Below are 22,836 nucleotides of genomic sequence, written 5' to 3'. Positions count from 1 at the left end.
ACCAGGGCTATCCCAGTATCTGGATAGCATCTGTATATTCATGCTCAGGGTCTACCTCAATGACAGATCAGTGTCTGTGAACCCTGGCTATGAATACAAGCTCCATTCCTATCCACACAGACTTAGGTTCCAGGTTCATCTACTCAGACCCAATTGGTCCAAAGCAGTCAGTTTATACTCCAGGCATAACTCCATGAACCTAGATGCCAGGCCTATCTACCTGCTGCTCCAGGAACCAGGGAAGACTACCTGAAGACTCTAAACCAAGTCTACATACCAGCCACTCCAGATGACTTCCCCAGAATTTTTGAATGGGTTGACTGATCAAGAACTGTCTCAAACAAAACCAGTACACAAAGAGTGGAATAAGTTTCTACTTCTTCAAATATACAGACATCAATGTAAGACAACAAGAAACACAAAAAACCGAGGAGATATAATACAACTAAAAGAACACAATAATCTCCCAAACTGACCTCAAGGAAATGAAACTATATAAATTACCTGACAAAAACTTCAACATAATTGTTCTAAGAAAATTCAACAAAATTTAAGAAAATAAAGAAAAGCAATTTCATGAAATCAGGAAAACAATAAACAAACAAAACAATAAGTTTAACAGAGATATTGACGTTTTTATAAAGAAATCAAACAGAAATTATGGAGAGAACTGCATACAAAATTATTTAAAAGTCAAAAAACTATAGATGTTGACATGAATGCAGTGAAAAGGAAATGCTTATACACTGCTGGTAGGAGTGTAAATTAGTACAACCTCTATGGAAAACAGTATGAAGATTTTTCAAAGAACCAAAACTAGACCTACCATTTGATCCAGTAATCCCACAACTGGGTACCTTCCCAAAGCAAAGGAAGTCCCTATATCAAAAAGACACCTGCATGCATATGTTCATGGCAGCACAATTCACAATTTCAAAGATATGAAATCAACCTAAGTGTCCATCAAGTGATGAGTAGATAAAGAAAGTGTGATACACACGCACACACACACACACAATATATCATTGTGGTTTTAATTTGCATTTCCATGATTAGTGATGTAGTTACTGCCATAATTTTTTTTAAACAACTTTAATATTCTCTGTTAAAGATATTGTCTTAGTTATTGTTTTTTGATTACACACACACAAACACATACACACACACCATGGAATCCTACTCAGTCATAAGAAAGAATAAAATAATGTATATTGTAGCAATTTTGATGGAACTACAAGCCATTATTCTAAGTGAAGTGTCTCAGAAATTAAAAACCCAATACTACATATTCTCACTTATAAATGGTATCTAAGTTATGGTTACACAAAGGCATACAGATTGGTATACTGGACACTGAACAATCAGAAGTGGGAAGGCTGGAAAGGAGGTGAAAGATAAAAAACTGCATATTACGTACAATGTTCACTCAAATCCCAGACTTCACCACTGTATTAGTCAGGGTTCCCTAGAGGGTCAGAACTAATAGGATAGGTAGATAGATAGATAGATAGATAGATAGATAGATAGATAGATAGACACATAGACAGATAGATACATAGATATAGATAGATATAGATATCTATAGATAGATAGAGAGATAGGTATATAGGATATCTATATCTATATATGAGAAGTTTATTAAGTATTAACTTACATGATCACAAGGTAACACAATACACTGTCTGTAAGCTTGAGGAGCAAGGAGAGCCAGTCTGAGTCTCAAAACCAAAGTACCTAGAGTCCGATGTTTTAGGGCAGGAAGCATCCAGCATGGGGGAAAGATGAAGGCTGGGAGGCTAGGCCATTCTCTCCGCTTCACGTTTTTCTGCCTGCTTTGTATTTGCTGGCAGCTGATTATATTTTGCCCACCAGATTAAGTGTGGGTCTGCCTTCCCCAGCCCACTGGCTCAAATGTTAATCTCCTTTGGCAATACTCTCACAGACACACCCAGGATCAGTACTTTGCATCCTTCAATCCAATCAAGTTGATACTCAATATTAACCATCACAACCACTAACAAATTCATCCATGTAATGAAAAGCCACTTGTACTCCTAAGGCTATTAAAATAAATAAATAATGCAATTATGGACCTATAAAATACAATGAATAAAATAAAATAGAGAGCATAAACAATATAATTTTTTACACACACACACAAAGAAATCTGTGAACTCAATGACAGTTTATTTGAAAATACACAGTCAGAGGAGGAAAACAATGAAATAGAATAAAGAGAGAATAAAGAATGTATGGAACAGCATCACAAAAGAAATTATTAGAGTTATATGAGTTTAAGAGGAAGAGAGCATAAGATGTAAGGAAGGGATCCAGTTTCAGCTTTCTACATATGGCTAGCCAGTTTTCCCAGCACCATTTATTAAATAGGGAATCCTTTCCCCATTGCTTGTTTTTCTCAGGTTTGTCAAAGATCAGATGTTGTAAATATGCGGCATTATTTCTGAGGGCTCTGTTCTGTTCCATTGATCTATATCTCTGTTTTGGTACCAGTACCATGCTGTTTTGGTTACTATAGCCTTGTAGTATAGTTTGAAGTCAGGTAACGTGATGCCTCCAGCTTTCTTCTTTTGGCTTAGGATTGACTTGGCGATGCGGGCTCTTTTTTGGTTCCATATGAACTTTAAAGTAGTTTTTTCCAATTCTGTGAAGAAAGTCATTGGTAGCTTGATGGGGATGGCATTGAATCTATAAATTACCTTGGGCAGTATGGCCATTTTCATGATATTGATTCTTCCTACCCATGAGCATGGAATGATCTTCCATTTCTTTGTATCCTCTTTTATTTTGTTGAGCAGTGGTTTGTAGTTCTCCTTGAAGAGGTCCTTCACGTCCCTTGTAAGTTGGATTCCTAGGTATTTTATTCTCTTTGAAACAATTGTGAATGGGAGTCCACTCATGATTTGGCTCTCTGTTTGTCTGTTATTGGTGTATAAGAATGCCTGTGATTTTTGTACATTGATTTTGTATCCTGAGACTTTGCTGAAGCTGCTTATCAGCTTAAGGAGATTTTGGGCTGAGACAATGGGGTTTTCTAGATATACAATCATGTCATCTGCAAACAGGGACAATTTGACTTCCTCTTTTCCTAATCGAATACCCTTTATTTCCTTCTCCTGCCTAATTGCCCTGGCCAGAACTTCCAACACTATGTTGAATAGGAGTGGTGAGAGAGGGCATCCCTGTCTTGTGCCAGTTTTCAAAGGGAATTCTTCCAGTTTTTGCCCATTCAGTATGATATTGGCTGTGGGTTTGTCATAGATAGCTCTTATTATTTTGAGATACGTCCCATCAATACCTAATTTATTGAGAGTTTTTAGCATGAAGCATTGTTGAATTTTGTCAAAGGCCTTTTCTGCATCTATTGAGATAATCATGTGGCTTTTGTCTTTGCTTCTGTTTATATGCCGGATTACATTTATTGATTTGTGTATATTGAACCAGCCTTGCATCCCAGGGATGAAACCCACTTGATCATGGTGAATAAACTTTTTGATGTGCTGCTGGATTTGGTTTGCCAGTATTTTATTGAGGATTTTTGCATCAATGTTCATCAAGGATATTGGTCTAAAATTGTCTTTTTTGGTTGTGTCTCTGCCCGGCTTTGGTATCAGGATGATGCTGGCCTCATAAAATGAGTTAGGGAGGATTCTCTCTTTTTCTATTGATTGGAATAGTTTCAGAAGGAATGGTACCAGTTCCTCCTTTTACCTCTGGTAGAATTCGGCTGTGAATCCATCTGGATTCATTTTTGGTTGGTAAGCTATGGATTAAAGGCTTAAACGTTAGACCTAAAACCATAAAAACCCTAGAAGAAAACCTAGGCATTACCATTCAGGACATAGGCATGGGGAAGGACTTCATGTCTAAAACACCAAAAGCAATGGCAACACAAGACAAAATTGACAAATGGGATCTAATTAAACTAAAGAGCTTCTGCACAGCAAAAGAAACTACCATCAGAGTGAACAGGCAACCTACAAAATGGGAGAAAATTTTCACAACCTACTCATCTGACAAAGGGCTAATATCCAGAATCTACAATGAACTCAAACAAATTTACAAGAAAAAAACAAACAACCCCATCAAAAAGTGGGTGAAGGACATGAAAAGACACTTCGCAAAAGAAGACATTTATGCAGCCAAAAAACACATGAAAAAGTGCTCATCATCACTGGCCATCAGAGAAATGCAAATCAAAACCACAATGAGATACCATCTCACACCAGTTAGAATGGCGATCATTAAAAAGTCAGGAAACAACAGGTGCTGGAGAGGATGTGGAGACATAGGAACACTTTTACACTGTTGGTGGGACTGTAAACTAGTTCAACCATTGTGGCAGTCAGTGTGGCGATTCCTCAGGGATCTAGAATTAGAAATACCATTTGACCCAGCCATCCCATTACTGGGTATATACCCAAAGGACTATAAATCATGCTGCTATAAAGACACATGCACATGTATGTTTATTGTGGCACGAATCACAATAGCAAAGACTTGGAACCAACCCAAATGTCCAACAATGATAGACTGCATTAAGAAAATGTGGCACATATCCACCATGGAATACTATGCAGCCATAAAAAATGATGAGTTCATGTCCTTTGTAGGGACATGGATGAAATTGGAAATCATCATTCTCAGTAAACTATCTCAAGGACAAAAAACCAAGCACTGCATGTTCTCACTCATAGGTGGGAATTGAACAATGAGAACACCTGGACACAGGAAGGGGAACATCACACTCTGGAGACTGTTGTGGGGTGGGGGGAGGGGGGAGGGATAGCATTAGCAGATATACCTAATGCTAAATGACGAGTTAATGGGTGCAGCACACCAGCATGGCACATGTATGCACATGTAACTAACTTGCACATTGTGCACATTTACCCTAGAACTTAAAGTATAATAATAATAAAATAAAATAAAATAAATAAATAAAATAAAATTCAAATAATGTTAAAAAATAGAAAAAGAAGAAGAGAGCAGCAAAGTATTAGATTATTTTTAAAAACAATAGCAGAATGCTTTTCAAATATGAGAAAATATAAAAATATCCATCTAGAGGAAAATCCAAGATCTCTAATCAGATTAACTCCAAATAAGACTACGTCAAGGCATATTATAATCAAATCATCAAGAAGTAAAGATAAAGGAAGATCCTGAAAGCAGCAAGAGAAAAGAAAGAAAAAATCAATTTTAAGAAGAGTTCCAAGAAGGCTAGAAATCAAACATCTTTAATCAGATTAACTCCAAATAAGACTACACCAAGGCATAATATAATTAAGCCATCAAAAATTAAAAATAAAGAGAAGATTCTGAAATCAGCAAGAGAAAAGAAATAAATCAAATGTAAGGGAGTTCCAATAAGGCTATCAGCAGATTTCTCAGTAGAAATACCACATGCCAGGAAAGAATGAAATGATGTAGTCAACGTGTTGAGGGAAATAGAACTGCAAAGTAAGCATACTATAAATAAAAATGTTATTTAGAAATGGAAAATAAAGGCTTTTTCAGACAAATAAAAGCTGAGGGGGTCCATTACCATCAGACCTTCTTTACGAGAAATGCTACAGAGAGTTGTTCAAGCTGAAATAAACAAGAAAATAGTAATTCCTTATCAATTAATAATTACCATGAATGTAAATGGATTAAATTATGCAATCAAAAGGTAAGGAATAACTTAATCAATTAAAAAATAATAATAATGCAGCCAAGACCCAACTATATGCCACCGTTAAGGGAAGCACATAGACTGAAAGTGAAGGAATGGAAAAAATAATCTGTACAAATGAAGACAAAAAGAGAGCAGGAATAGCTATATTTATATCAGATAAAACAGATTTGAAGTCCAAAACTATAAGAAAGGAGGAGAAGGTCATTCATTATATTATGTTAATGGGGTTAATCAAGGGAATATATCATTTATAAATATATATATATATAATCCAAAATTGGAGCTCCCAAATATATTAAAGAAATATTAATAGATAACTATGAAGGGAGAGGTAGACTGTAATACAACATAATTCAACAGCACAATTAAAAATTATTAATCATTTTCAAGTGGGACTTGTCCCTGCGATGCAAGGATGCGACAATATATGCAAGGTAATAAGTGTAATACACCACATTAAGGGAATGATGAAGAACAAAACCATGTGAACATCTCAATAGATACAGAAAAAGCATTTAATAAAATGTATCATATTTTCCTGATAAAAGCTTCAAACAACATAAGTATAAAAAGAAGTACCTCAACACAATAAAAGCCATACATAATAAACCCACAGCTAATATCATCACACTCAAAAGGGAAAAGTTGATAGCTTTTCATCTAAAATATGGAACAAGACAAAGTGTACTCCTGCTACTACTTATTAAGAGGATACTGCAACTTCTACCTAGAGCAAACAGGCAAGAACAAAATGAATAAATGGTATCAAAATTAGGAAAGAAGTTATATTGTTTGTATCTGCAGATGACAGAATCCCATATTTAAAAAACTCTGAAGACTACACAATAAAACTGTCAGAACCAGTCAACAAATTTAGTAAAGTTGTAAGGTACAAAATAAATATACAAAAATCAGTAGTATTTATATATGATGACAACAAAGTATCTGAAAAAGAAATTTAAAAAAGAAACATTTGTGATGACTACAACATGTAAAATAAAATACTTCTGACTAAATTTATCCAAGGAGGAGAAAGAACTGTACACCCAAAACTAGAAAACATTAATGAAGGACATTTCCAAATATATAAATAGACAGAAAAAATTTAGTGTTCCAGGATGAGAAGAATTAATATTGTTAAAATGTCCATACCAAAGTGATATACAGATTTAAAGCATTTACTATAAATATTTCAATAATCTTTTTTTCCACATGAATAGAAACAAAAATCCTAAAATTGTTATGTAACCAAAAAAAAAGCCAGAATAGCCAAAGCAGTCTAGAGTAAAAATGAAAAAACCTAAAGGCATCACACTCCCTGACTGTATTTGTCTGTTCTCACACTGCTAATGAAGACATACCTGAGACTGGGTGATTTATAAAGAAAATAAGTTTAATTGGCTCATGATTCACCATGGCTTGGGAGGCCTCAGGAAACTTACAATCATGGTGGAAGGGGATGCAAACATGTTCTTCTTTACATCACAGCAGCAAGGAGATGTGCCAAGTGAAGTGGGGGGAAAGCCCCTTATAAAACCATCAGATCTCATGAAAACTCCCTCACTATCATGAGAACAGCATGGAGGTAACCGCCCCCATGTTTCAATTACCTCCCACCAGGTCTCTCCCACAATATGTGGAGAACCACAGTTCAAGATGAGATTTTGGAGGGGACACAGCTATACTATATCATTCTGCCCTCGGACCCTTTGAAATCTTATGTCCTCACAATTTAAAACACAATCATGCCCTTCCAACAGTCCCCCAAAGTCTTAGCTCATTCCAGCATTAACTCAAAAGTCCAAATCCAAAGTCTCATCTGAGAAAAGTAGGTCATTTCTGCCTATGAGCCTGTAAAATCAAAAGCAAGTTAGTTACTTTCCAGACACAATGAGAATACAGGCATTGGGTGAATACACCCATTCCAAATGGGAGAAATTGGCCAAAATAAAGGAGCTACAGGCCCCATGCAAGTCCAAAATCCAATAGGGCAGTCATTAAACCTTAAGTTCCAAAATGATCTCCATTGACTCCATATCTCACATCCAGGACATGCTGATGCAAGAGGTGGGCTCCTAGGACTTTGGGCAGCTCTGACCATGTAGTTTTGCAGGGTACAACTCCTCTCATGGCTGCTTTCATGGCTGACATTGACTGTCTGCAGCTTTTCCCGACTCATGGTGCAAGCTGACAGTGGATCTACCGTTCTGGAGTCTGGAGGAGGCTGGCCCTTTTCTCACAGCTGGCAGTGTCCCAGTGGGGACACTCTGTGGGGGTCCAAAGCCAAATTTCCCTTTCGCACTGCCCTAGTAGAAGTTCTCAAAAGAGTGTTCTGCCTTTTGCAGCATACCCCTGCTTGGACATCCAGGCCTTCCCATCCATCCTTTGAAATCTAGGTGGAGGTTCTCAAGCCTCAATTCTTCTCTTCTCTGTACCCACAGGACAAACACCAAGTGGAAGCTGCCAAGGCTTGGGGCTTACACCCTCTGAAGCCATAGCCCCAGCTGTAACTTGACCCTTTTTAGCCATAGCTGGACTAGCTAGGACACAGGACACCAATTCTCCAGGCTGCACACAGCAGGAGTGCCTGGACCCAGCCCAGGAAACCATGTTTTTTCTCCAAGGCCTTGAGGCTTGTGATGGGAAGGGCTGCTGTGAAGGTCTCTGACATTCCCTGGAGACATTTTCCCCATTGTCTTGGCAATTAATATTTGCCTCCTCATTACTTATGCAAATTTCTGCAGCAGGCTTGAATTTATCCTTAGAAAATGGGTTTTTCTTTTCTATTGCATCATCAGGCTGCAAATTTTCCAAACTTTTATGTTCTGTCAGCTCTTGAATGCTTTGGAATTGAACAACGAGAAAACATAGAAATTTCTTCTGCCAGGTACCTTAAATCATCTCTCAAGTTTACAGTTCCACACCTCTCTAGGGCAGGGGCTAAATGCTGACAGTCTCTTTGCTAAAGCATAACAAGAGTCACCTTTGCTCCAGTTCCCAACAAGTTCCTCACCTCCATCTGAGACTACCTCACCCTGGACTTATTGTCCATATTAATATCAGCATTTTGGTCAAAGCCATTCAACAAGTCTCTAGGAAATTCCAACCTTTCCCACATTTTCACGTCTTCTTCTGAGCCCTCCAAACTGTTCCTACCTCTGCCTATTACCCACTTCCAAAATCACTTCACATTTTTGGGTATCTTTACAACAGCACCCCCACACATGGTGCCAATTTACTATATTAGTTCATTCTGATGCTGCTATTAAAGACATACCAGAGACTGGGTAATTTATAAAGGAAAGAGGTTTAATTGACCACAGTTCAGCATGACTGGGGAGGCCTCAGGAAACTTACACTCTTGGCAGAAGGGTAAGCAAACACGTCCTTCTTTACATAGCAGCAGCAATGAGAAGTGCCAAGGGAATGGGGGGAAATCCTCTTATAAAAACATCAGATTGCATGAGAACTCACTATCATGAGACCAGCATAGAGGTATCCACCCCTATTATCCAATTACCTCCCACTGGGTCCTTTACAGAACACGTGGAGATTATTGGAACTACAGTTCAAGATGAGACTTGGGTAGGAACATAGTCAAACCATATCATTGATTTCAAAATGTATTACAAAGCAATTATAATCAAAACAACATGGTATTGGCAAAAAATATCCTCTTCCCCCCAATAAAAACAGACACATTAACCAATAGAACAGAATATAAAGCCAAAAGATAAAGCTACACATCAATGGTCAATTAATTTTTGTAAAAGTGCCAAGGATGCACGGGAAAAGGACAGAATGTTCAAAAATGTGAAATAACTGGACATCTACATGCAAAAGAATAAAATCGGACCTTACTTCACGCCATATAAAAAAGTCAACTCAAAATCAATTGCAAGACTTGAATGTAAGACCAGAAACTTTAAAACTACTAGAAGAAAATTTAGGAGTAAAGCTCCATTATGTTGATCTCAGTAATCTTATTTAAAATTTTATTTGATTTGTATAACTTTATGAGGTACAAGTATTATTTTGTTATATTGATATATTGCAAAGCATTGAAGTCGGGGCTTTTAGTGTCTATCAGCGATTAGCATACATTATAGACATTAAGTAATTTCTCATCACCCACCCTCTTCTAAGTCTCCACTGTCTGTTATTTCACATACTACCTGTATGTGTACACATTACTAAGCTCTCAATTATAAGTGATAACGTGTTGTCTCTGTGTGTATTTCAATTAAAATAATGACTTCCAGTTTCATCTATGTTGCTGCAAAAGACATAATTTCATTTTTATGGCTGAATAGTGTTTCATTGTGTATCCTTTGCCCACTCATCATTTGATGGGCACTTAGATTGGTTCCATATCTTCGCAATTGTGAATAGTCCTACAATAACTATGTAGATGCAGTTGTCTTTTTATATAATGATTTATTTTCCTTTAGATAGATAGCTAGTTGTGTGATTGCTTGATTGAATTTAGTTCTATTTTTAGTTCTTTGCAAAATCTCCAAAAATTTTCCATAGATGTTGTACTAATTTACTCTTCCACTAACAGTGTATAAGTGCTTTCTTTTCTCCACGTCCTCACTAACCACTGTTATTTTTTCTGTTTAAGAATAGCCATTCTTACTGGGTAAGATGATATTTCACTGTGGTTTTAATTTCTATTTCACTAATGATTAGTGATGATACAAACTTTTTTTCATATTCTTGTCGGACTTTTGTGACTTTTTTTAAAAACAAATTCCTACCGTGTCCTTAGACCATTTTTTAATGGGATTCTTTTGTTGTTGTTGTTGTTGACTTGTATGAGATCCTTGCATATTCTGGATATTAGTCTTCTATTGGATGAATAGTTTGCAAGTATTTTTTCCCATTCTGAGGATTGTCTCTTTACCCTGTTGATTATTTATTTGCTGCACAAAAGATTTTTAGTTTAATTAAATTCCATTTATTTTTGTTTTCATTGCCTGTGCATTTGAGGTCTTGGTTCTGTATTCCTTGCCTGGACCAATGTTCAAAATAATTTTCTCTAGATTTCTTCTGGTAATTTATAGTCTTAGGTCATATATTTAATTATTTAAAATACATCTTAGTTGATTGTTGTATATGATGAAAGACAGAGGCCTCATTTTATTTTTCTGCATATAGAAATCCATTTTTCCCAGCATCATTATTGAAAATGTTGTCCTTTCCCCAGTGTGTGTTCTTGTTGACTTTGTTCAAACTTCAGCTGACTATAAGTATGTGGCCCTATTTCTGGTTTCTCTATTCTGTTCCATTGATCTATATATCTATTTTTGTACCAGCACAATGCGGTTTTGGTTACTGTAACTTTGTAGTACAATTTTATATCAGGTAATGTGATGTCTCCAGCCTGCTTTATGCTTAGTTTTGCTTTGGATATCTGAGTCCTTTTCTGGCTCCATATACATTTTAGGATTATTTTTCTACTTCTGTGAAATGTGATGTTAGTATAATGATAGCAATCACATTAAATCTGTGGATTGCTTTGGGCATTGTGGTCATTTTAAAGATATTAGTTCTTCTGATCCATGAGCATGTGATTATTTTTCATTTGTGTCATTTACTACTTCTTTCATCAGTGTTTTGTAGTTTTCCTCTTGGTTAAATATATTCCTTGTTATTATTTTTGCATCTATTGTAAATTGCATTGCATTCTTGATTTAGTGCTCCAGCTAGATTGTTGTTGGTGTATAGAAATACTACTGATTTTGCATGTTCATTTTGTATGCTGAAACTTTACTAATTCATTCATCAAAATCTAGGAGGTTTTTGGTGGAATGGTTAGGGTTTTCAAGATATAAGACCATATCATCAGTGAACAGGGATAATTTGAGGCCCTGTTTTCCAATTTGGATACGTTTTATTTCTTTTCCTTGCCTGATTCTTCTGGATAGGACTTTCAATACTATGCTTAATAGGAGCGATGCAAATGAGCATCCTTGTCTTGTTTCAGCTTCTAAAGGGAATGCTTTCAACTTTCACCTTTCAGTATGATTTTGGCTGTGAGTTCGCCATATATGGTCTTTATTATTTCTATGCCAGTTTGTTGAGGGATTTTTTATGATGAATAAGTGCTGAATTTTATCAACTTTATGTATCTATTGGGATTATATAGTTTTTGTCTTTAATTCTGTTTATGTGGTGCATCACATTTATTGATTTGCATTATTGAACCATCCTTGCATCCCTGGTATAAAACCCACTTGATCATAGTGTATCATCTTTTGGAAGTGCTGTTGGGTTCAGTTTGCTCGTATTTTGTTGAGAAATTTAGCATTTATGTTCATTGGGGATATTGGTCAATAGTTTCCTGTTATGGTTTTGTATTGGTCTGAATTTAGTATCAAGACCATTTACTGGATATGAAGCCATTTCATAGTGTACACATATTTCAGAACATCGTCCTGTGTACAATAAAGATAAATAATTTTATATGTCAATTAAAATTAATAAATAATTCAGAAAAATAAATATTTTGAACTATATTGAAGAGTACTTATAGTAAAAAATACATAATGTAAATATTTTCAATAAATATGTAAATTCAATTTTAACAGAACAAAACAATTTTTAAAGGATAGAAGATAGATAAAGTGAAAATTTTGACAAAAAATTCATTCAAAATTAAATCCACTGGAATATACTCTAATTTTTAAAATTTATTTTTGGTAATTCCCTGACTTGCATGAACTGGCAGGAATCTACAGGTTGGTGTGTGGATGGGATGTTCAGTCTTGAATTATCTTGGCACTATTGGTTGTGTGTGTATTGTGAATAAAAATTATGGCTGCCTCAATAATGACCTTCCAGTGTGATACTCACTAGACACAAGCAGCCGTTTCCATAACCTCTGATAATTTAATTCTACTACAGGGTTCTTAAGAAACTGTCATGGGGTAGGTACTAGTCATGTGCACATGGTTATCCACTTCTCATGTTTCAAGCAGGATTTTAGCCTTGAGTTGACAGTCTGGAATCAATAATATACTCTGCATTTAAATAAATGTCTCAACATTTTCTAGACAGTAACCCCCAAACAGCCCAATTCATGCAAAAAGTAAAAGTGTGTGATATTCAACCAATCAAATGCTCAGAAAAATAAAGTGACCTTTTTAAATTAGAAAAACTATAATTTCCTACTCAAGGTGAATGAATACAGTGACTAGAAAATCATTTTTTCTTTACGCCTGCACGTAGTAATTACAGCTTCAATTTGCACAACTTTTTTTCCTTGTTCAGAAAAGGTACATGTTATATTATATCCCACATGCATTCTTATTCTCTCTAGAGCAATTATGTAGCTTTATTTAAAGGGCAAATAAAGCATAAAATTATACCCTTAAAAAGTAGTTTGAACTAACAGTTAAATTTTGGCTTAGAATTTTACCAGTGTATTAAATAGAAATGGAAGACAAAAATAATAACTTGTAGGATGCCGTAATCACTGGGAAAGTGGGAGAAAGGTCTTATAAAATCATGTACTGAAACAATTGAAATGGTTGATGTAATGAGAACTGAGCATGAGAGTTTCCAACAGCCAACTTCACAGCCTTTCTATCTAGTAGTATCAATATCATATATGTATTTTGTTCACGATTTTACAAAGAAAAAAAGCAAATATTTTAGATATAGTTAAAAGGGATTGGAAATAATTGGGTGAGAAAATATATGTCAAGAAAAGTCTAAAGACTTTCCTAAGTTCAAACTAGTAATTATTTAAACAATAAAAACTAAATCCCAATATTCTGATTTTCAATTGAAAATACTCTCCAATAAAAAGAAAATCAATAAATTTATTGTAACTTAAATATTAATTATCAATAAAGATAATACAATCATCTGAAAGTATATTAAGTCTTCTTTTTTTTTTTTTTTTTTTTTTGTTGAGACAGAGTCTCATTCTGGCGCCTAGGCTGGAGTGCAGTGGTGCAATCTTGGCTCACTGCAACCTCCACCTCCCTGGTTCAAGCAATTCCCCTGCCTCAGTCTCCTGAGTAGCTGGGATTACAGGTGCATGCCACCACACTCAGCTAATTTTTTTTTTTTAATTTTTAGTAGAGACAGGGTTTCACCATACTGGCCAGACTGGTCTCGAACTCCTGACCTCAGGCAATCTGCCTGCCTCTGCCTCCCAAAATGCTGGGATTACAGGCATGAGCCACCGCGCCTGGCCTATTAAGTCTTTTTTTTTTTTCTTTTTTCAGCCACAATTTCCTCTAGCTTTAACCAAATCAAGGATCCCAAGTAGTTTGCTAAAGATTTCTCTCCAAATGAACTGTAAAAAGTCAAGTTGCTGCCCAGAACAAATAGACTAGGAAGCAGACAAATGTATTTGTCAAGGTTAGAACTCTTACAGAATTATTACATGATTATGGATAGTTGAGGTTTTGTTGTAAGCATACTTCAATTTCCAAAATATTTTATTCATGTCTTGATATTAATAACATATAGGACTAGATGATCTTTGAGATCCCTTCCATTATTGACATTTTAAGAAATGTGAGTATTTTAGTGTTACTTATCATATATGGAAATATGATTTGCCTTTCATTATTTTTAAAAGTGCCAAAACAATGACTGTTCTGAAAAAGAATAAAACACTATTCAATATTTAAAGTCCCAACCAATGTCAATTTACCTGGTTACCTTCTGTAGAAGCAATTGCATCTATCAGCATTTTCCTGGAGTATGCTTTCACCTCTCTGGGGGCACTTAACATTTCATTCTGTATCATGGCTATTTATTTTCATGTCTCTCCCCTACTAGTTTTTAAACTCCTTAAGGGCAGAGTCTGTATTTTATTCATTTTATATACCTCTAGAACCACTATGGTGTCATACATATAGGAGGCATGCCCTGTGAAATTAATGAATGAATGCCATTAAAAAGTCTGTACATCAAAACACACAGAATGCAAAGATAAATCAACCTGTCATATATGCAATTCTAGAATAGCATTATCTTTTCTATAGCAGTTCTTATATGTGATGAATCATGATATAAAACTGGACATGCTTTGAAGAACATTACCTCATTGTTCATTTATTCATTAAGCTATAAATTTTTATAAGAATGAAACTAAATATAATCCCTAAAGTAGTCAAAAAGAAAGTATGATCATGATGTATTGTTCTAGTAAAACAGCCTTGATACACTAGCTAAATCAATATACAATATGCTTTATTTTCCATTCTAACGTAAGAAGAAAAAATGAAGCTTACACAAATTATGGATAATTAATGATCATTTATATTATGGTACTGTTGCACAATATACTTGGGAGAGTAAGTTTGTATAGTATGTTTGAATGCCCATTTAACAAAACCAGAAACATTTGTGCATTATTTGGTTCCTCGGCTTTATATATAGAAAGCTATATAAGACAACAATTAGCATGAAAATCTAAATGTTTTATTTGCGGTATTCTTTATTATAGTAATAAAAATAAAAATGACCCATAGGTCCAGCAATGAAAAATGTTTTAAAAATCATGATAATTTTATAAAATGAATATCTATGTAGTTACCTAAAAATATTTATGTAAAAGAATATTTAATGATGTACAAAGATGTTTAAAACTTAATGCTTTAAAAAATGAAATTATAAAGTAGCATGTTAAAAAAATCATATGTAAAATCTTAACAAAACAAAATGCTAAAAATTTAATTAATTACTTTATAAGAATATAGTAATAACCTTTTATTTAATTCACTCACCTTCATGTCTACTATTAATTCCTATGTCATTGTTGTTCACCAAAGTTCTGATGTAATATGATTCAGGAAGTATAATTATTTAGTCAAGATAGTGAATAGTAGTATGTCCTAGTAAGCTTAGAATAGAAAATAAAATACAAAATTAAATCTCTCCTCCATGTTTGATATAATGTGTGCCTTCTTGTTCCAGTGTGACTCAAATACATTAATGAATATAATATATATAGAAGGGAAATTTCTGTTTCATATCTTCTTTATGACCATCAATATGTGATCTATTTTGTATCCACTAGTAAATATTTAGTCAGCATCTACTCCTTTCTTTGAATGCTAGGCCAACTGATGCTGATAATAAAAAAAATCAAGAGTATAAGTAATAGTTTCTGTGAGAAGGAAAAGTTGCTAACAAAATATCATGTCGAAGGAAAGCTACTAGAATGTACAATTAAGTGGTCCTTTGTATGTGTGTTTTAGGGGAGAAGTGTCCCTTGACATTGATCAAAGTTGCTCATTTCTATTCCCACTATTTGGTCCTCAAGTCTTCAAAGGCTTCCAGAGCATGAGACTAGATTGCTCATTCATCACATTTTAGAATTTCTGAAGCAGGCTGCTCAGAAAATCCCCACAATATTCAGAAATATTTTAAGAGACTTAATCTGCCCTTTGATGTTCTCTTTATTCAGATTTAATTGCTTTGAAATCAAAAGTACATCAAACATCAAAAAAAGTCCTGTATTCCTGCCCAAGTCTACATGTATTTAACAGTGGGTGAGGAGGGGACAGTCATTTCTGGATTTATAGAAACTAGAAACCATGTAACTCATGTTAACAACTTTTCCCCTTTTTAATGGAACTTTCATGGCTTAGCACCAAAAATCTGTGTTCTGAAAAACTCCTCAGTCCAAAGAAATGTGTATTCTTGGACATTCTAATTTTACCTGGACATAAGAGGAGGCATAATAAACTAATTTAAGTGTTTGATTCAAAACTAGTATCATCCATGGCTGAGAAACTTCAGTCATATATACTAAGAGATCTTTGAAATAAGTTTTCTAGTTATGCTTTATGTTACAAAATTGTTACAGATGTTTAGGATTGCTACAGTCTAATGATAGTGTGCTAACACACTTGATGTGTGTTTATTATGACCAGTATCATGATGAATTTTGTGCACTTTTAAAGTTGTACTCTCAAACCCCTCAAGGACTGTACAAATAAAAACCTAAGAATACTAATGCTTCACTGTGCATTATAGTTGCATAAATAAAGAAGTAACCTTTGGACTAGTATCCACATATACAAGAAACTCAATTCAAGAACATCAACAAGATGAAACAAATGATTCCATTAGAAAGTGGGCAACACACATGAATAGATATGTTTTCAAAAGAAGAAACAATAATGGGCAAAAGGTATATGAAAAAAATGGTCCACATTACTAATAATCAGATAAATGCATATTAAAACCACAATGAGATATCTCACTCTAGTCAGAATGGCTGTTACTAAAAAAGTCTGGTTTCAGTTCTCTGCATATGGCTAGCCAGCTATCGCAGCACCATTAAAATAGGAATTCCATTCTCCACTGTTTATTTTTGTCAACTTTGTCGAAGATCAGATGGCTGTAGGTGTGCAGCTTTATTTCTGGGTTCTTTATTCTGTTGCATTTGTTTATGTTTCTGTTTTTGTACAAACACCATGACGTTTTGGTTACTGTAGCCTTCTAGTATAGTCTGAAGTCAGGTAATATGATCTCTCCAACTTTGTTCTTTTTTTTTTTTTTTCCTGAGACAGAGTTTTGCTCTCTTGCCCAGGCTGGTGTGCAGTGGCGTGATCTCAGCTCACTGCAACCTCTGCCTCCCAGGTTCAAGCAATTCTCCTGCCTCAGCCTCCTGAGTAGTTAGGATTACAGGTGTGTGCCACCACGCCCAGCTAATTTTTGTATTTTTAGTAGACACGGGGTTTCACCATGTTGGCCAGGCTGGTCTCGAACTCCTGACCTCATGATCCACCTGCTTCAGCCTCCCAAAGTGCTGGGATTACAGTCATGAGCCATCATGCCCAGGCAACTTTGTTCTTTTTGTTTAGGATTGCTTTGGCTAGTTGGGCTCTGTTATTTCTTCCATATAAATTTTAGAATAGTTTTTTGTTTTTTTCAAATGTAGTGAAGAGAGATATTTAACTTATTATTTTCCTATTTGGATGTCTTTTATTTCTTTCTCTTACCTGATTGCTCTGGTTAAGTCTTCTAGCACTATATTGAATAGGAGTGGTGAGAGTGGGCATCCTTGTCTTGTTCCTATTGTTAAGGGGAATGCTTCTAGCATTTGCCCATTCAGTATGATGTTGTCTGTGGGTTTGTCACCGACATATCTAATTATTTTGATGTATGTTCATTTGATACCTAGTTTGTTGAGAATTTTTATCATGAAGGGATATTCCATCAAACACTTTTATGCATCTATTAAGATGATCATATGATTTTTGTTTTAATTCTGTTCACATGGTTAATCACATTTATTGATTTGCATATGTTGAACCACCCTTGCATCATCCCAGGAATAAAGGCTAACTGATCGTGGTAAATTAACTTTTTCATGTGCTATTAGATTTGGTTTGACATTATTTTGTTGAAGATTGTTATGGCATCAAGGACATTGTTCTGTAGTTTGTTCTTTTTGTTATGTGTTTGCAGGCTTTAGTGTCAGGGTAATGCTGGTTTCCTTGAATGACTTAGGGAGGAGTATTTCCTCCTCAATTTTTTAGAATAGCTTGAATAGAAATACTAACAGCTCTTTGTGTATCTGGTAGAATTTGACTGCAAATCTACCTGCTTCAAGGCTTTTATGGATTGGTATGTTTTTCATTAATGATTCAATTTTGCAATTTGATATAGCTCTATTCAGAAATTCAATTTTTCCCTGATTCAATCTTCAGAGGTTATGTGCTTACAGAGATTTATCCATTTCCTCTAGACTTTCTAGTTTGTGTGCATAGAGTTATTAATAAAAGTCTCTGATAATCTGTATCTGTGGGATGAGTTGTAACGTTACCATTGTTTCTGATTGTGCATATTTGAAACTTCTTTTTGTTTTGTTTTTGTTAATCTAGCTAGTGGTCATTCAATATTGTTCATCCTTTCAAAGAACCAATGTTTGGTGTTAGTTTGTTCTTGTTTATATAGTTCCTCTAGGTATGATATTATTAATTTGAGATCTTTCTAACTTCTGAGATAGGTGTTTAGTGCAATATATACGTTCCCCATTAAATTGCTTTTGCTGCATCCCAGAAATTTCAGTATATTGTGTCTCTGTTTTCATCGATTTCAAAGATTTTTGTATTTCTACCTTAATTTTGTTGCTTTGCCAAAAGTCATTCAAGAGCAAGTTGTTCAATTCCTATGTAATTGTGGGGCTTGGGGAGATCTTCTTGGTATTAATTTCTGTTTTTATTCCACTGTGATCTGACAGTACAAGTGATATGATTTTCTTTTTCTTTTTCAGCTTATTGACACTTGATTTGTGGCTGAGCATGAGTCCAACCTTGTAGTATGTTCCATGTGTAGATGAGAAGATTATATATTCTGTGGTTGATGGGTGAAGGGTTCTGTTTATTAGGTTTATTATTATTTGCTGTTTATTAGGTAGGTCCAATTGGTCAAGTGTAAATTTTCTTTCCAAAACTCAGTTTTTAGTTTTCTACCTAGATGATCTACCTAATGCTCTCAGTGGGGTTTGAAGTTTCCCACTATTATTACGTGGATATCTTAGTCTTTCCCTAAGTCTCAAAGTACTTGTTTTATCAATGGTGTTGCTCTAATGGTGGATGCTCTAAATAGGTTAACTATCTCATTTAAGTATGGGGTCTTCATGTTGAATTGAACTTTCATCAATATGTAATGCTGTTCTTTGTCTTTTTTTGCAGTTTTTGGTGTAAAGTCTATTGTGTTCAGTATAAGCATAGTGACCCATGGTCTTTTTAAATGTCCATTTGTGAGATAGCTGTTTCTCCAAACCTTTACTTTGATCCAATGAGTGGCATTATGTGTGAGATAAGTCTCTTGAAAACAGCAGATGGAGAGGTCTTGTTTTTTACTCAACTTGGAACTATGCCTCTTAAGTGGGGTGTTTACACTGTTTAGTTTCAAGGTTAGTATTTATATGTGAGGTTTTCTTCCTACCATGGAGTTGTTAGATGTTTCCTTTGTAGCTTCCATTGTGTGGTTATTTTATAAGGTCTGTGGGATAGGTAATCAAGTATGTTTTTGTGTTAGCAGGTATCATTCTTTCACTTTAATGTTTAGAATTCCCTTAAAGATCTTTTGTAAGGCTGGTGTTATAATAAATTCTCTTAGTTATTGCTTGTTTGGAAAAAGGTTTTATTTCACCTTTGCTTACGAAGCTTATATTAGTGGAATATGAAATTCTTGAGTGGAATTTCCTTTCTTTAAAAATGCTTAAAATAAGCCTCCAATCTCTCTTGGTTAGCAAGGATTCTGATAAAAAGTCTGCTATTAGCCTGATGTAGTTCCCTTTGTATGTGATTTAATCTTTTCTTTTTAAAGATTAGTCTTTAACATTGACCTTGGACAGTCTTGTGACTATATGCCTTGGTGATGTTCATTTTGTATAGTATGTCACAGATGCCATATTTATTTCTTGTGTCAGGATGTCTACTTCTCTAAAAAAAGAGAAATTTTCTGGTATTATTCCCTCAAATAGGTTTTCCTGGCTATTTACTATTTGTTCTCTCTCTCAGGAATGCCAGTAATTCATATGTTGTCACTTTACACATTCCCATATTTCTCAAAGACTTTGTTCACTTTTTAAAATTCCTTTTTTCCTTTATTTTTGTCTGACTGGGTTATTTTGGAAGACTGGTCTTCAAGCTCTAAAGTTATTTATTTTGCTCGGTCCAGTCCTTAGATAAAGCTTTCAATTGTATTTTGAAATTCTTTTAGTGAGGTTTCTCCTTCTATAAGTTCTGACTGATTTCTTTTCAAGATGTTTATCTTTTCTTCCTTACCTGCATTGCTTTAGAAGTTTCTTTGCGTTGATTTTCAACCTTGTCTTGGATATTGTTGAATTTCCTTGCAATCCATGCACTGAATTCTTTATATTCATTTCTGAGTTTCTATTATGGTTAGGGATCATTGCTGGAGAGCCAGTATGATCCTCTGGTGTCATCACTTTGACGTTTTTCGTGGTGTCAGTATTCTTTCACTGGTTCCTTCTAATCCAAAGATACTAGCACTTATAAATTTTGTAATTATTTTCATGCAGGTAAGATTTTTTTCTTACTTTCTCTATAATATTAGTTGTTTCCCTTTCCCTGTACCTGCCTCCTAGAGGGGTGTGACTGTAGAGAGTGCTGGGTAGGGGTCTTTTCACTTTGCCTCTGCAGCCCTATGCACTTCTGTCAATAGGTTTTATATTGGGCTTGCAGTTTGACCCACAAGCCAGTAGATGGCGTGGATAGGTAAGAGCCGGTTTTGGCTGCTGTGGCTGCGAATATACTTCATTCTCGTTTACTTTGAGAAGTTCTCTGTTGCCTCAAGCAATGAGCTCATCTGTGGAGTACACATAGTTTCACCTCCCTGATCAGCCTCCGGGGGTTGGGATGGGAAAGATGACGGGGGCCAGGCTGGACAGATCCTCCTACAGGTCCCCTATTAGCAGGCAGAAGCATCCAGTGTTTGACCACCAGGTGCCCAGAGGTTTGCCTAGGCACGGACCTTGGAAACCTCTTTGGCCTCAAGTTTTCTGCACTGAGGGTGGGAGTGGCATAAATTTCTAATTCAAGAGAATAGGTACTCTAGATGTCTAGCGATTAGCCTGGGCATGGAGTATAGAGCTACGCCCTACAGCACAATCCCTGCACAAGAAGGGTACTGCAACTCAGGCTGGTAATCCAGGTAAATTTGTGCTCAAAATGCCGAGAGATTTTCCTGGGCATGGACCGGAGAGGGCCCCGCTACACTACGATCTTTACATAAGAAGGGTGGGGTAGCTCAGGATGCTGAGCCAAGAAAGTAGGTGCTCTGAATGCCTGGAAGTCAGCCTGGGTTTGAATTAGAGAGGTACAGGATTTCTGCACAGGAAGGGCATGGCAGCTCAAGCTGGGCAAGCAGGTCCTTTGAATACCTGGAGTTTTGCCTGGGCATGAAGCAGAGATGTCCACCTGCACCACAATCACTGTGCAGGAAGGGTAGGATCATTCAGGCTGCTGATCCAGGCGAGCAGGTACTCCAAATGCCTGGAGAGCTGCCTGTGTGTGGAGTGAAAAGGGCCTCACTGTACCACCATCCATTCCCAGGATGTGTGGCGTGTCTGAAGCTGCTTAACCAGGCAAACAGTTGCTCTGAATGTCTCTAGATCTGCCTGGGCATGAAGTGGAGAAGGTCAGCTTGCCCCAGGATCTCTGCATAGTAATAGTGGGGCACCTCAGTTTGCTAATCCATACAAATGGGTGCTCCAAATTTGTAGACCTGCCTGGTTGTGGAACAGAGAGGGTCTCACTGCATCACAATCTATGCAGAAGGAAGATGAACAGATGTTCTGAATGCCTGGAGTTTTGCCTGGGTGTAGAGAGGAGAGGGCCCTGCTGTACTATGATCTCTGCTTCATGAAGGGTGGGGTGCCTCAGATTGCTGGTCCATGGGAGTGAGTGCTCTTAGGTGGAGCAGAGAGAATCCCACTACAACATAATCTCAGGGAAGCAGACTGGGGCATGCAGCAAGGGCACACAAACACCATTTCCAGGTCACCAAGCTGGCCCTGGATGCAAGTCTTGTTGCCCAGAGGAAACTGTCACTGTGACAGCTTTCCTCTCACCCCAGGCCTGTGGCAGGAGAGAGCACAATTTCAGTGCCTACTGCTGGGGTGCTTGCCACAGTTCTGGCTGTAGAAGTTTCTAACCCATTCTAGAGCAAGCACTCCAATCTCTGGCCCAAGACTGAAATGCTTGCATGGATGGCCATACTGCTAGGTCTCCAAAGAATAGCTTTATATGCCACTGGATTAAAAATGGCTTCATATGCACCTGGAATAAAAGGCTTCCTGCTGTCAGTCCCAGATCTGGGAAAATGCCGGCTACTTTTCCCAGTGTCTTTTCTTCCCACACCTCCAAGCCTCTCCACATGTTAGTTACAGTGCACGGGAGAAACAAATTGCTCTGCTTCAGCCTGGTTGCTCATAACCCCTGTGGAAAGCTGAGTCACAGAATGAAGCTCTCTGCCTCTCTCATGTATTATGGTTTCACTCACTTTTATCAGCTGGACACTCACATGGGGCTGTTTACCCTCATTTTCTTCCCCAGGATCTGAAGTGTCCTTCATGATTTCAGTGGATTCCCATTTTTCTTCTTGTGTTAAAGCTAACAGAGTTT

General features: G+C 36.2%; 2 annotated features.

Annotated features, from left to right (window-relative positions):
* Positions 7,543 to 8,043: an enhancer, noted in NCBI's record as "H3K27ac hESC enhancer chr7:118851051-118851551 (GRCh37/hg19 assembly coordinates)". NCBI's record gives its function as "activates a minimal SCP1, AML or CMV promoter by ChIP-STARR-seq in primed H9 embryonic stem cells {active_cell/tissue: H9 hESC(primed)}" and the evidence as "EXISTENCE:reporter gene assay evidence [ECO:0000049][PMID:30033119]".
* Positions 8,044 to 8,544: an enhancer, noted in NCBI's record as "H3K27ac hESC enhancer chr7:118850550-118851050 (GRCh37/hg19 assembly coordinates)". NCBI's record gives its function as "activates a minimal SCP1, AML or CMV promoter by ChIP-STARR-seq in primed H9 embryonic stem cells {active_cell/tissue: H9 hESC(primed)}" and the evidence as "EXISTENCE:reporter gene assay evidence [ECO:0000049][PMID:30033119]".

This window comes from Homo sapiens, chromosome 7 (assembly GCF_000001405.40).
Source record: "Homo sapiens chromosome 7, GRCh38.p14 Primary Assembly".
Lineage (NCBI taxonomy): Eukaryota > Metazoa > Chordata > Mammalia > Primates > Hominidae > Homo > Homo sapiens.
The sequence above is the reverse complement of the archived record's forward strand: the minus strand, read 5'-3'. Positions and strand labels throughout refer to the sequence as shown.